The sequence below is a fragment of the Homo sapiens genome, chromosome 4, assembly GCF_000001405.40.
Source record: "Homo sapiens chromosome 4, GRCh38.p14 Primary Assembly".
In the NCBI taxonomy this organism is placed as follows: Eukaryota; Metazoa; Chordata; class Mammalia; order Primates; family Hominidae; genus Homo; species Homo sapiens.
Genome location: NC_000004.12, coordinates 155168845 through 155183640, shown reverse-complemented (window position 1 = coordinate 155183640; position 14796 = coordinate 155168845). Strand labels below are relative to the sequence as shown.

The following is a 14796-nucleotide window of genomic DNA, read 5'->3' as shown; positions in this document are numbered from 1 at the left end:
TTCTTCTTGCAAGTCTCCTTATCCTCATTTCTCTAATCCTTTTAAAAAAATCATTAAAAATTGCCCATAAATGTATGTAGATCCATGCCTCTGGCCATCTCTTCTTCCAGAAAAACAAACAAACAAACAGTGAAAACCATTTGTTCCAGTTGAAGTTCTGCTCAACTTGGAGTGTATTTCCTTCCAGGCTGTCTCTTGGAGTCTTCCTTAGCTGGTGAAAACGACAGCATTTCATTTCTGGTTGGAACCAGATTATTATGCAAAGTCATTTGGAAATAAAACTCCTATATTTCCTCCTCAGCCCTGAGGTCATAAGGAATTCTCCCATGAGGTCATAAATGTGCACTGAAATGGAGGCGTTTGTTTAGCAAAGTAGGCACCGCACAGAGAGAGTGTGAGTCGATTGCTTATACAACTTGTTATACAACTTGTATATTCATTACTTGGTCAGGCCACAGAATTGCTTTTAACACATTTACTTGATGATGGAGTGCTCCGAGGAATACCCGAACTTATGGTTTAACAGATTAATAAAACTAGAACAGCTCGGCTGGGCATGGTGGCTCATGCCTGTAATCCCAGCACTTTGAGAGGCCAAGGCAGGTGGATCACCTGAGGTCAGGAGTTTGAAACCAGCCTGGCCAACATGGTGAAACCCCATCACTACCAAAAATGCAAAAATTAGCCGGGCATAGTGATGGGCGCCTGTAATCCCAGCTACTCGGGAGGCTGAGGCACAAGAATTGCTTGAACCCAGGAGACGGAGTTTGCAGTGAGCCAAGATCGCGCCACTGCACTCCAGCCTGGGTGAAACAGCGAGACTCCATCTCAAAAAACAAACAAACAAACAAAAACCTAGAACAGCTCATGACAGAGAGCTTGGGTTGAATGTTCTCTCTGTGCCCCATGTTCAGATGGTCACTCTCTTCCAAGTTCCTATTTAAAACCAAGAATAATAATTCTTGGTCAAAATCTATTATTTTAAAATAATATTTTTCGACCAAGAGGAGTTTGGTTTAAAACCCAAGAGAACTTCATTGTGATTCTCCTATTGTGGCCTGAGAGAGGCTCTGCATAGCACTGACACTTTAAACATCATTCGCTCTGTTGACTCTAAAGAACCAAGTGACATCAGCTTGCAGTATTCCATGATGCAGCCACCAAAACTTCTCTTTCTCTGGGCCCCATTTCAAATTTCTGAATTATCACTAAATTAGTTTGGGAAACATGACCAAATGCAGTTTTGTGTTACCTCTGAAATCCAAAGACACCCACAAGTGACAGATGCATATTGCTTTTAGGGGTAGTTAGTGCAATTTGTCTTAAATTCTGAAAAGGATAAATATATATACAGCTAAGACCAGTGGACTCCAGAAACATGGTAGCTGACTCAAATTATACCCAGTTTTAAAAACGCTTTTCCTTTTGGTGGTGGTGTGAGGGGTAGGATGGAGCAATGTGGTTGGAATCGAGGAGTTATATAATTTAACTTAGATAATAACTTAGATGGTTGATAACTCTTTTAGTCTTGAGGAGCCCATGATTAATTAGCCTTTAGTTATTTTCTCTGTGAAACAAACCATTCTGCTTATTCCTTTAGTTCTACTGCTTATTGGGGAAACCACACTCACTTTGCACCTGACAGTCAAGTTGTATTTTTTTGGATTCCTTCCACTGGGACATTCCATCATCCCCATTGAATTCAGAGAGCCCATTTTAATGGTAACCTGTTCATGTTCATCCTTCCTCTACAAAGACCCACTACCATGAGTGTTATGGAAGTCTGTGCTAGTCCCACCAATGTATTTGTCAATGTCTTGGTGTGGAACATCTTAGTCCATTTGGGTTGCCAAAACAAAATGCCATAAACTGGGTAGTTTGTAGACAACTTTCTCACCATTCTAGGGGCTAGGAAGTCCAAGATGAAGGTGCCAGCAGATTCAGTGTCTGGTGAGGACCCACTTTCTGGTGCATAAGTGACAACATCTCATTGTGGCTTCACTTGGTGGAAGGGGCAAAAGCTCCCTTAGGCCTGTTTTATAAGGATACTAATCCCATTTATGATCTAATCTTCTCCCAAAGTCTCCTCCTCTTAATACCATCACCTTTAAAGGTAGGGTTTCATATATGAATTTTGAGGGGACACAAACATCCAGACCATAGTAAGGTTTTTTTTTAATGCTCTTTTACAGAAGATCCTTAAAGAGATAGGTGAATGGTTGGCATATTCTATATGTATTCCAACGTTTATTTCTCCCTAACTCTTTGAATATTTCACACCACTGGTGATAACATCCTAAATTCTGTGCTTCAGAAATGTGTGAGGGTTTCTTGGAAGCCACAGTGATGGGTGGATTGGAGGGTACCACAATCATTTAGTGAATGAGATCAAAAGAGTCTAGATATCCTGAAGTATCAGGGCAGTTCCTCACTATAAGAAGTTATCCACGTGCTGTGTAACTTTTGAATGCACTACCGGGTAATTGTGCATGTGAAGAGCTTACAATTACCCTATAACTGATCCTGGAAATGACCTCCACGTCATGTAAAAAGTACAAAGTATGTTTGCACAGTTTTATTCATTCTGACTTTTCTAGTAATACAAATAAAGGAAAAATATAATTTGTTTATGTCTTCAACTTTACTAACAGTTGCTCACCATTTTGATAAAGTCTCATCACTGACTTTCAGACTATTTATTTTACTTGAATCACCAATAAAACGTAATTTCATCAGTTCGAATGTATAGACATTACTATCACATATAATCTATTTATATATAATAAATAAATATGTTTTAAAATGTCAAATATAAATAAAAATGTTAAAATCAAGAAAATATTTAAAATTGGATGCTCTTATTTCTCATACAAATAGACAGTTACTAACATGCCTACTCTAATACAAAAACTGTAAAAAACATGAAGCCTAATTGGAAGACTTTGCAAAGAAAAAATAGTCATCAAATATATATATTAGAGTTCCAAGATTTAAGGGAAGACTTAGGAAACCTCAATTTTTCCCTGGAATATTAGAAAAAAATAGTCAGAAGGATAAAACTGTATTGTTTATCACAAAATAACAGAATCACAAAATGTGTAAGCCATGCAAGTTGGTAAAAATTATCTTGTCAACTGGTATAAGAAGTATAATAATGAAAGAATATGTAAAAAAATCTATTCCACTGAGCAATCATATTGTTTCAAGTTGAGGGAAGATGTAGAAAATCATCTGTGTAATGAACTGCATTCAAGCAAATTTTCATGACAAGTGGATGTTAGCACTCTTTGTGTTAAAGGAAAAAAGTTTTTCCTAATTGCACATCTAAAGTTTATAAAAAATACAAAATTCATAGCAGGAATGTTATTTTTAAAATTACTGATGGCAGCATTTCTGCTTCCATGTGAAAGTAACAGTTTCAGGCCAGGTGCAGCAGCTCATGCCTGTAATTCTAGCTCTTTGGGAGGCTGAGGTGGGAGGATTGCCTGAGCCTAGGAGTTTGAGAACAGCCTGGACAACATGGCAAGACCCCATCTTAAGAAAAAATAAAGAAAAAGAAAAAAATAGGAAAAGAAAGTAACAGTGTCTGGAATCACCCCTCTGTTGTAAGCAATGAAAAAAAAAAAACAAAATAAAATATAGAAAAAACTATGTTTACATACTAGACAATAGAAAGTATAGGACTTGTCTCTCAGACAAAGCAAACCACTGAAATGAATACTATGATCTCATCAGCTTTCTTCCAAGAGAAAATTTCAAGATGATGGAAGAGAGAGTGAGATTCTTCCACTGGTCTTATTGACTTGAGGAGATGGAGACCAGATCTTAGGGAGATCAAGCAATCTAGAATTTGTGGGATAGAATATCAAAAAAGAGGAAACTTTGCAGTTAAGGCTACAAAATCTGCATGGGGTCCTGTTGGGTCTTGACTAAAACCCAAACTATATATGCAGAAAGTGAGCTCGCATGAGCCAACATAAGACAAATTCCTTGGAAACAGCAGTTGCCAGAGATGAAAACTCCCAAGAGTTCATACCGGGGCAGAAAATATATGAGTTGCCACTAACCAGAGTTGAAAAGACTCACTGTATACACAGGGCAGTCAGTGAAGATCCTAAATTGCTCATATCATAGAAGTGGGGGCTAAATAAACCCAAGGGTAGTGACTACTCTAAACAAGCCTTCTAAAAGGCTTTAAAAGCAAGCCTCAAATGAATCAAACTGTCCCTCAAGTAACTTGACAGCTTGCCAAAAAATTTCAACACCACTTAAAAGGAATACAACAAAATCTGGCACACACAAGAAAAATCCACAATATCTGGCATCCGGTCAAAAATAAGTAGACATACAATGAAGCAGGAAAATATGGCCCATAACCAGGAAATGTCAGATAACAGACATAAACAGAAATAAAGATATGATAGAATTAGCACACAAGAACATTAAGAAAGCTATTGCAATTATGTTGAATATTCTCAGGGTTGTCATTGGAAACATTAATGTTCATAATTAAGAGAAAAAATGGCACATATGAAAAAGATAACTTCTAGATATGAAAAATACAGTACTAAAAATAAAAATATCACTAAATGAAATTACCAGCAAATTGGTCTTTGCAGGAAATAAGAAGTATAGTGAGTTTAAAGATAAAGCAATAGAAACTAGCAAAAATGAAGAATATAGAGAAAAAAGCACTAATTATACACAATAACTCGGTGACCTGTGAAGAAATATCAAGTTGTCTAACATTTGGGCAATGGGAGTTCCAAAAGGAGGAAGGGGAGAAACAGCAAAAGTACTTGAAGAAATATCTGCAGGGTTTCCAAATTTAATGAAAACTAATATCAGACAAAGCAGACTTCAGAACAAGTAATTTTAGCATAGACAAAGGGGGACTTCATTAATAAATATAAAGCATTCTATTTATTCAGATTTGACAATTTTAAATGCACGCACACTTAATATGCTTCAAATAAGTTTCAAAATATATGAACAACTGAAATAGTAAAATGATAAAGAAACAAATACACAAATATAGTTGCCTATTTCAACCTCTTCTCTCAGTACTTGTAGAACAAGTAGACAGAAAACCAAAATGTTATAGAAGACTTAAACAGCAGTATCAACAAATTCCTCCTCATTGACATTTATATAAAAATTTACTTTATAACTTCGTGTACATATTTTCAGAAGTATATGAAACATACGTCAAGCTAGTGCACATGCTAAGCAGTAAAATGAGTCTCAATAAAATTAAAAGAATTAAAATTATCTTGAGCAAAGATGGAGTTAAATTGATAACAAGATAAATATTTACTGCCACATTTTGCTGCCTTGAAACCCACACTTTTTGGGTACTGCCTCTTCCAGGAGAGCTGTTAACCTAACACAGCTTCATCTTCCCCTGACATTCATCTTGGTAGTTTTTAAACAGTAGTTAAGATACAAGGAAAGGTGTGAATGAGGAACAAGAGCAGATGATCTCACAGTATTTCAAAGGCAAGTAGCTGCCAACCTCTGGCCTTAGCTTGGTGGGAGGGGAGGAAGAATATTTGAAGAAACCTCAAAGCAAGCAACTAAATTCTTAGACTAGAAATATTCTTATAACTAAAATTAGACTGTTTTGTGACTACACAGAACCATAGACCTGCTTATAACTTCAGAGTAAGCAGAAATGCCATATGAGGTAAGTTTCCAACCAGGTGCTATGGTTTGAAGGTAGGTTCTCTCCAAAATTTATGGTGAAACTTAACCTCCAATGTGGTGGTGATAAAAGGCAGGGGTTTTTGGTGTGGTGGCTCAAGCAGACCTAGGTGTGGCTAAGGCTGCTGCTCTGGAAGATACAGGCTGTAAACTTTGATGGCATACATGTGGTGCTAACTCTATGGGTGTGTAGGGTGCACAAGCTGGGGAGGTATGACTGCCTTCACCTAGATTTTGAAGGATCCCTCAGAAAGCACAAGCAGAAAACTAACACAGGGTTGGGGCTACCACAAAGACACCCCACTGGGGCAATATCCAGTGGAGCCATGGGAGCAGGGCTATGCCTGCACTCCCAGAACTATTGAGCCACCAGCATGCAGCACCAGCCTGGGAAAACTGTAGGCAGGGGGCTTAAATGAGTGACAGCTGAAACATTTAAGTTGAACTGGTGGGGACCCCAGTGTGTCCAGAGGTTCGACATGGAGTCAAAGATTATTGTCAAGCTTTAAGAGTTAATGTTGTTTGCCTTGTTGAGTTGGGGACTTACTCGGTACCCATTAGCCCTTTCTTCTGGCTTATTTCTCCCTTTTAGATTGGAAGTGTGGGTCCTGTTTCTGCCTAGCTATTTGTATTTTGGGAGCATATAACTTGTTTGATTTCACAGGTTAACAGCTAAAGAGCAATTTGCCTAAGAAAGAAACACACCTTTGAGTCTAACCTATCTCTGACTTGATGACAGTTAGGTGAGAACACGGACTTTACACTTTTGTGTGGAAGATGGAATGAATTAACATTTTGGAGACTACTGGGATGGAATGAATGCATTTTGTATGTGAGAAGGACATGAATTTGGGGGGCCAGTGTCAGAATCTTATGGTTTGAATGTGTCCTCTCCAAAATGCATGTGTTAACACTTAATTTCTCTTCTGGTGGTATTAAGAAGTGGGGCCTTCTAGGAAGTGATTATGTGATAAAAAGGGCTGGAAGGAACTAGCTTAGGCCCTTTTCTGCTCTTCCGCCATGGGAACACAGTGTTCATCCTCCTCCCGCTTTGTCCCTTCTGCCATGTGAAGGTACAGCTCACCCCTCTGGAAGATGCAGCAGCAAGGCACCATTTTGGAAGGGACACTGGGTCCCCGCCAGATACCAAGTCTGCCGGTGCCCTGATCTTGGACTTTGTAGCCGTCACCACTGTGAGAAATAAACTCCCATTCTTTATAAATTATCTAGTGTGTGCAGTTTTGCCAAAGCAGCATGAACAGACTACTACACAAGGGCAGAAGAGACTACCCTCACTGAGTAAATGTTAAAGATCTGTGGGGACACAAAGCTGAAGTTGTGTTTATGTATCCTAATATGGTGGCTGCACCGGCTATCAGGTAGGGTAACCACCTAATTTATCATGTAAACAGAAGAAAGGGAACCTTTTAATAGTTTAACACATTGGGCACAAACCCATACTATCCTGAGCAAACAAGGCTGTATGATCATTATGGGAGCATTATATTCCTTGATCTGCCAGTGGCCATCTACCACATGGAAAGACCCCGCCCGAGAAGAAAGCCAACAGAGTTCAACGCAAGACTGAGAGATGGAGGGAAAGAGGCAGGGCTGCTGGTGTTCGTGAAATGCCAGAGCTTCACTAGGTCCTGCTGCTCACTGCAAAGACTTCCAGTCGCTGAGACAAGGCTTTAATAGGGTGCTACAGCCAAGAGAAGGGATATACAGTCTCAAATCCCATCTCACCAACCAACTAAAATTGGGGGGTTTTTATAGCAGGGAAAACAGGAATTAGAGAGGGGTAAGGAAGCAAACATGATGGATAAGATGTCTGACATCTCATTGTCTGGATGTGGTGATCGGACAAGTTTTATTTCCTTGGCTGAAGTTTGTTTTCCTGAGGTAGGAACTCAGATGAGACAGATGTACATTTCAAGTTTTAAACTTAGGAAGGTTAACTTGTATGTTTATTCAAAAAATCCCATAAATATCAGCTCTATGAGATGATTGGGCCCATTTCAATGGCATGATCTTTGGCCCTTCCCAGGTGTGTGTGACCCATTAAATTTTCTCTCTCTCCCTCCCTCTCTTTTTTCTTTTCTTTCTTTCCTTCTTTCTTTATTTATTTCTTTTCTTTTTTCTTTATTGTTATATTTTGCTTGAACTGATCAGTTTAACCACTATCACTTGGAACAAACAGAAAATTAGTACACATCACTTTCTCAGACATGTGAGCAAAGATGAGCTAGTAGATTAGTATCTTGTCATTTTTGTTTGACACTACACTTGAGAATAGGCTTTTAACAAAAATTATACATAAAAACTGACAAATCGCTATTATATGCATATTGCAACTAACTACTTTTACCAACATTAAAATCTGCTAATTACACATAAAATAAAATGATCTTTCCATTTTCTTAGCAACACCAAGAAAAACAGGACTAAAGACTAGGCTAAGATTTGGATATTGAAAAGCATGACCAGACAGCAGAAGTGAGGTTGGTTTTAATACAGATAGTACAGATAGAACTTTCTTTCTTCATTGGGGTTTAACTGATGTTCAGGTAAGTCGACCTTATTTTCTATTCCACTTTTAAAAACTTTAAATACATGCAGTTTTCACTGACTGTATCTCCCCTGTGTATTTACAAATACTTCAGCAGATTATACTGAACTTGCATCATTTCTTTTTCTTTCTTCATACTCCCTGAAATCATAATGGCAAAACCGAATCTTGTTTTTTTGCAAATGGTACTCGGTTGGCGAAATTTGCCTTAATGATACACTAAAATTGCTGCTTCACATTTCAGTCATATTTTGTGCAAGACTCTCTCAAACTAACTATGGAAAATTATGATAGAAGAGCAAGGTGGGTCCTAAGGCTTCACAAATGAATTATCTTTTCCCTTTCATATAGAAGATTAAGATCCAAATCCATTTTTAAAGATTTTAAAATTTTCTCTCCATTAGAGAATAGTTTCAGAATAACTCAGTTTTATTAAATGCGATTTTACATCCTTGTAGTAAAAGAGTCATAATGAATAAAAATGAGTATGGTCAAATTTAGTATTGTGTAATAATTTTCATGTTATCAGAAGTAATTATTTGATTCATGGCAATGCCTGAATATCAGAAAATTTACATTCACATCCTTTCTTTCCTGAACTCTCCAAATTTGCACTTCCTCAAACCTACTTTCAGACTTTTTACACTTGTTCCCAAAATTCTTTTCTATCATGGCTGTGTCTCAGAGTTATTAGGGATGGAAAAGAACTATCTTCCCAGAATGGGGATGTATAATTTTAGTTCCCAAAATGTAATTTTTAAATCTACAGTCTTCCTTTATGCCTTATATAGTAAAAGTTCTCTTCTTAGGCTGTTTACTGAGTGAAATATATCCTGATCCAAATACTTAAAACAGATTTTAAAGTAGAGATTTAAAAAAAAAAATATATATATATATATATATATAAAGCTTAGCCAATGATATGCCAAATTTCCTTGTCCAAATATCTGAGCTCTATCACTTAATGCCTAGGAGACCTTCTTCTCACCCATTTTGTTGCAATGGAAATCATAGCATTTGGCAAATGTGAATAGAATATTTATGAGAAATAAATGAGACAACATTTAGATACCTATAACAGTACCTGGTATATACACTTTAATTCTTTTGAGTATGGAGCTAATTATTTAAGGGAAACTTGGTTCTTAGCTTTTTCAACACCAATTGCAGTCAGAAATTCACTATTTCCATGTTATAATCCCAGAGTCTTTCTGAAAAAGATCAATGCAAAAACTCTGATCAGAAAGCCAGAAAAATCCAGTTATCTAGTGCTCAGAAATGGAGTAAATGAATCACCTACAGATGTCAAAAAACTGCAGCTCATACTAACATTTGAACAAATGATTAAGTTGAACTTAATCCCAAAATGACCTAAACAGTTTAAATGCTGTTTATTAAAGCATTAAAACATGTATTAAAGTACATAAGCACTGGAGGTAGAAACATTTTCATGCATGAATTTAGACTGCAGGAGAAATAAAATCTTTCTTTTAAGCAACACAAAGGAAGTAAAACCAAATTAATCAAAACTAAAAGATACTGCTTAAAAGAGAGAAAAACACATTTAGTTACCTGTTTATGTTTGATAGGCTTCCATGAGAATTCGTGTCTGTGGCTTTATCTGAATGAATATGGTTCCTCAATACGTAATCTTTATGCCTTCTTAACCATGAAATTAAAAAAAAAAACAGAGAAAAGGGAGCATAGCTAAGAGAATTTGGAGGTGTACCAAAATTTTGTGGTATAAGTGAGACAATATATGGCATAAAGCCATGCTTTTCCATCTTCATTGCACATTAGTATCCTCTGGAGTGCTTTAAAAATGCCTGCAGGAAATGCAAATCAAAACCACAGTGTAATACCACCGTACTCCTGCAATGATGACCATAATCAAAAAATCAAAAAATAATAGATGTTGTCATGGATGTGGTAAAAAGGGAACACTTTTATACTGCTAGTGGGAATGTAAACTAGTACAACCACTACGGAAAATAGTGTGGTGCTTCCTTAAAGAACTAAAAGTAGATCTACCATTTGATCCAGCAATCCCACTACTAGGTATCTACCCGGAGGAAAAAAAGTCATCATACAAAAAAGACATTTGCACATGCATGTTTATAGCAGCACAATTCACAATTGCAAAAATATGGAATCAGTCCAAACGCCCATCAATCAACAAGTGGATAAAGAAAATGTGATATATACATATATATACACACACACATAAACACACACACACATATACACACACACACATATATACATATATATACACACATATATACACACACACACATATATATACATATATATACACACACATACCATGGAGTGCTACTCAGCCATAAAAAGGAAAAAAATGGTATTCGCAGCAACTTGGATGGAGTTGAAGACCATTATTCTAAGTGAAGTAACTCAGGAATAGAAAACCAAATATCATATGTTCTCACTCATTAGTGGGAGCTAAGATGTGAGGACTCAGAGGCATAAGAATGATACAATGGACTTTGGAAACTTGGGAGAAAGGATGGGAGGGGATAAAAGACTACACCTTGGGTACAGTGTACACTGCTCAGGGGAGGATGCACCAAAATCTCAGAAATCACCACTAAAGAACTTACTCATGTAACCAAACACCACCTGTTCTCCAAAAACCTAATGAAGTTTAAAAAGCAAAGAAAAAAAAATGAAAAGATAAAATAAATTTAAAATAATGTGGGTGGAGTTTAAAAGGTAGGGAGTAGATTCAAGAAGGCCAGCTGGGATCATGGTTTACACATCTTATCCTGACAGAAAGAAGGCTTTCACTGGGGCTGGTGATGAGGGGTAACTGAGATGTTTAGAATCCAGTGGACCTCAGATAAATCATTTTGTGATTGGGGTAATTTTGATCATGGAGATATAGACAATGGTGAAAAACAACAAATAAAGAAAGAAAGAAATAAGCCTGAGACCCAATTCCTGGGATTGTGATTTAATTAGTCTCATATACGGCCAAAATATTTATATATTTTCAAAGTTATCCAGGCGATTCTAATGAGTACCAGGGATCAGAAGCACTGGATGAAGATTTTACTGGGTGTAATTGCCTAGGTTTAAATCCTTGCTCTGTTTTTTACTTGCTGTTTATACTTAAGCAAATTATTTAACCAATCCAAGATTTAGTTTCCATGATACATAATGTATTATTCACTGCCTGGCATAGAGCTGACGTTTTGTAGTGCTACCTATTTATGAAATATTTTACTATAAATATTTAAACAGAAAGTCTTCTACTGTGCCCTGTCAATATATATTTTCCTCATGCTCTGAGTGCCACTGGATAATCTCATGCAATGAAAGCTAGCATTAGAGACAGTGGTCACCACTCTCTGCTATTGGTTATTTGGGCGAACTACTAAAAACTATCCACAAAAGTGTGCTGTGCTGTGGTAAGGTTGAGTGTTTTGAAACGTGTTATCTACTCCTCTAAGGCTTCACTTTATGCCATTTATTTTATGATTCATAGAACTCATAATGGATAACAAAGTTACTAATAGCACAAAAAGTGCTTCAAAAGCATGTAACTGATATAAAAATTATTTATGGGATATTTAGGGGTTTTTTTAATACTAGGTCTTCAAAATCCCACAGTATATCTCACTTTAAACCAGGCACATCTTTTAATAGATATTCCATAAAATAAAGGGTTTAAGATGTTCCATTAGCCACTTATGGCTGGTAGCTTTGGAGCTTCTCTGCCTGGACTCAAGCAGTGTGGATTTGAATCATGGTTCTGTGGTTTACCGGTTATGTGATATTGACAAGTTTCTTAACCTCAGTTTCCTATCTATAAAACGATCACATGGGATAACCTTTGTAAATTCCTATGACAGTATCCATAATAAACTCTTGATTAATGTTAATAATAATCATCATTATTCCTATCATGTTCATTGTCGCTAATGGAATGCTGTGCAATTGTCAGTGCTGAGTCAACACTGTGACTTTCTGAAATCTCTTCTCTAGAAACACTTCTAGTAAATGTTCAAATGAATGTTAAAACATTATATAAAATATTTATTACTTATTACAATAAAAGGGTTCTAATTCCAGGATCATTTCTCCCAACTGTGTTTAGAGGAAACCTCTGGCCACATTCAATGATTGAAGAACTGTAGGAATTTTTTTTATAGTACATCCCTTTTATTACAGTACAGGATGGTATAAATCTCCAGGGAAACCCCATGTAAAAACTTATGAATTACAGTCATTCTCATATTCCCCAAACACATTTGACCATAAAACCCTTTATTTTATGGAACATCTATTAAAATGTTGTGAAAGTTGTGCTCTACAGGCTATGCTTTGGGAAATGTATGGAAAATATCTGCTCTGGTGATTGATCTCTGTCATAGAGAAGAGCCTTGCTTCTGTTTACCTCAGACAGGAGGGAGTCGGGTTCCACAGTGCTTCAAAACAGTGGGGCATGGTGCAGCTGCCTGATCCACAAGTCACTGAGATCTCTGAAAGTGCTCATCTGAGTGGCCTCAGCAGCCTCATCATGCTGCCGCTTCTTGTGCTGAACATGATTAAAAAGTCACTCGTGAACCCTGTGACCAGCATGTGGCACCATATCACTTTAAAGCTCACCTGCAGCTAATTACTAACAGAATGTTCAGGGTCACGTCATTTCTCTCCTTCTCTTCCTCTTATTTTCCTTTTAGATATGTGATAAAAAATATTTCTAAATCATGCTGAAACAGACTAATGAGAATTTTAATTAAGTCCAATCTCTGGGCTTAAATATATCTTTAATATGTGGAACACTATCACTAAAATATGCAATCTTGCATCCAATATGAACATATGAATAAAATACTAGAAATCTGTACTTTTCATCAACATAGTGGAATAGCCTAACAAAATGTAATTTCAGGTTCAATATTTGTTGAATCTCCATAGGGGATTTACTACCTATTCAAATAGATAAGAATAATATGGAATAAGTGTTTTAATAATCCACTGAAGTATATTCTTCCATAATACTGGAAAAGATTTTTACTTTTTTGCAATCTACTTCATTATAACATTTTTATTAATTGTAAAATAATAAGCCATAACCCAATAAAGGCAAATAACCTCAATTTCTAGATGTCCCACCTTGAAACACAATCCAGTATATATTAATGAACAAGTCATTTAACCTTTCTATGACCAGAGCTTCTCATCTGTAAAATAGAAGCATTTTTGGTACTTACCTCCTAGAACTATTGTGAGGAATATATGAGATAAACGGTGTAAATTTGTATTGTGCATGTGAAGGACAGACTCTAATGTAGCCCTCATAATCCCTAACAAGGTATTCATGGCTTTGTATCATGTATTTCCTTTTAGTGTAGGTAGGGCCTATGTCTTGCCTCTGACTAGTCGAGGCAATGAAGTACATGTGATTACATATAAATGATTACTTTACATGAGATCACACCTTGGGAGGAGACTCTCCCTTTTGCTGCCCTTGAGGAAGCAAGCAGCTATGTTGGGGAAGCCCACATGGCAACTGAGGATGGCGTCTAGCCAGCAGCCAGCAAAAAACTAAGGCCCTCATTTTGGCAGCCTATGAGGAACTGAACAATGCCAACTACCACATGAGCTTGGAAGCAAATTCTTCCCCAGTTGATCCTCAGATGAGACCACAGCCCCAGCTGACACCTTGATTGTGGCTTTGGGAGACCGTGAAGCAAAAAATCCAGTTAAGCTATGCCTAGACTCTGAACCCCAGAAACTGAGATAATACATGTTTGCTTTTTTAAGCTTCTAAGTCTGTGGTAATATTATTATGCACCCACATATGATTAACAAGGTGCATGATGCATAGTAAATGTTCAAATATATTAACAATATAATAGCTAATATATTTGAATATTTACTATGTCATGCACTGTATTAATCATATGTGGCTGCATTATTATATTGTTAATATTATATTCTTAATATAATAGCTAATATAATATAATCATATTGTTATAATTGTTATTGCAAATAGTAGAAATCTTAATTCACATTTAATTTGACTATTTTATGGGCTAATGAAGATTATATTTCTTATTTTTACTAAAACTTTTGAAGTTGTGATTTTGCTACTCAACTTTCTATTTGTTTTTATGAACAAATATGCTATTTACTCACTTACTTTCCCTTTTTCTCCAAATTATTTTTCACAGCTGAGATGTGAGGAGATGATTGCAGGTACGGATTCCTTTCTCTTTCAAAATTTGTATTTGGAGTCCAAATACTTTTGACTAGAGGAAAACAAGGCCCAATTCATGCCTCCAGGTGTACAGCATGCAGTCAATGAATGTTAGTTTCTTCCTATACAGTCTACAAAAAAAAAACCCAAAATACATGTATCTATATAAGAAAATGTAGGTAGGAGAAGGGAGATTTGGAAGGTGAAGCTTCTCTTTTTTGGAAGATTAATTTTTAATCAAATGAAAACATCTATTAAGAAGCATCAAATTTAGTGGTACAACTCAATGAATTAT

At 36.4% G+C, this 14796-nt stretch overlaps 1 protein-coding gene across 1 annotated transcript in view; it reads right to left on the bottom strand.

The window, feature by feature from the left end:
- The window catches only part of NPY2R (neuropeptide Y receptor Y2), a 43354-nt gene extending 33436 nt beyond the window's left edge, over nt 1-9918 (bottom strand). Inside the window, exon 1 of the mRNA NM_001375470.1 lies at nt 9845-9918. The gene's annotated coding sequence lies outside the window, so the exon portion shown is untranslated. The remainder of the gene's footprint in view (nt 1-9844) is intronic.
- Between the last annotated feature and the right edge of the window lie 4878 nt (nt 9919-14796).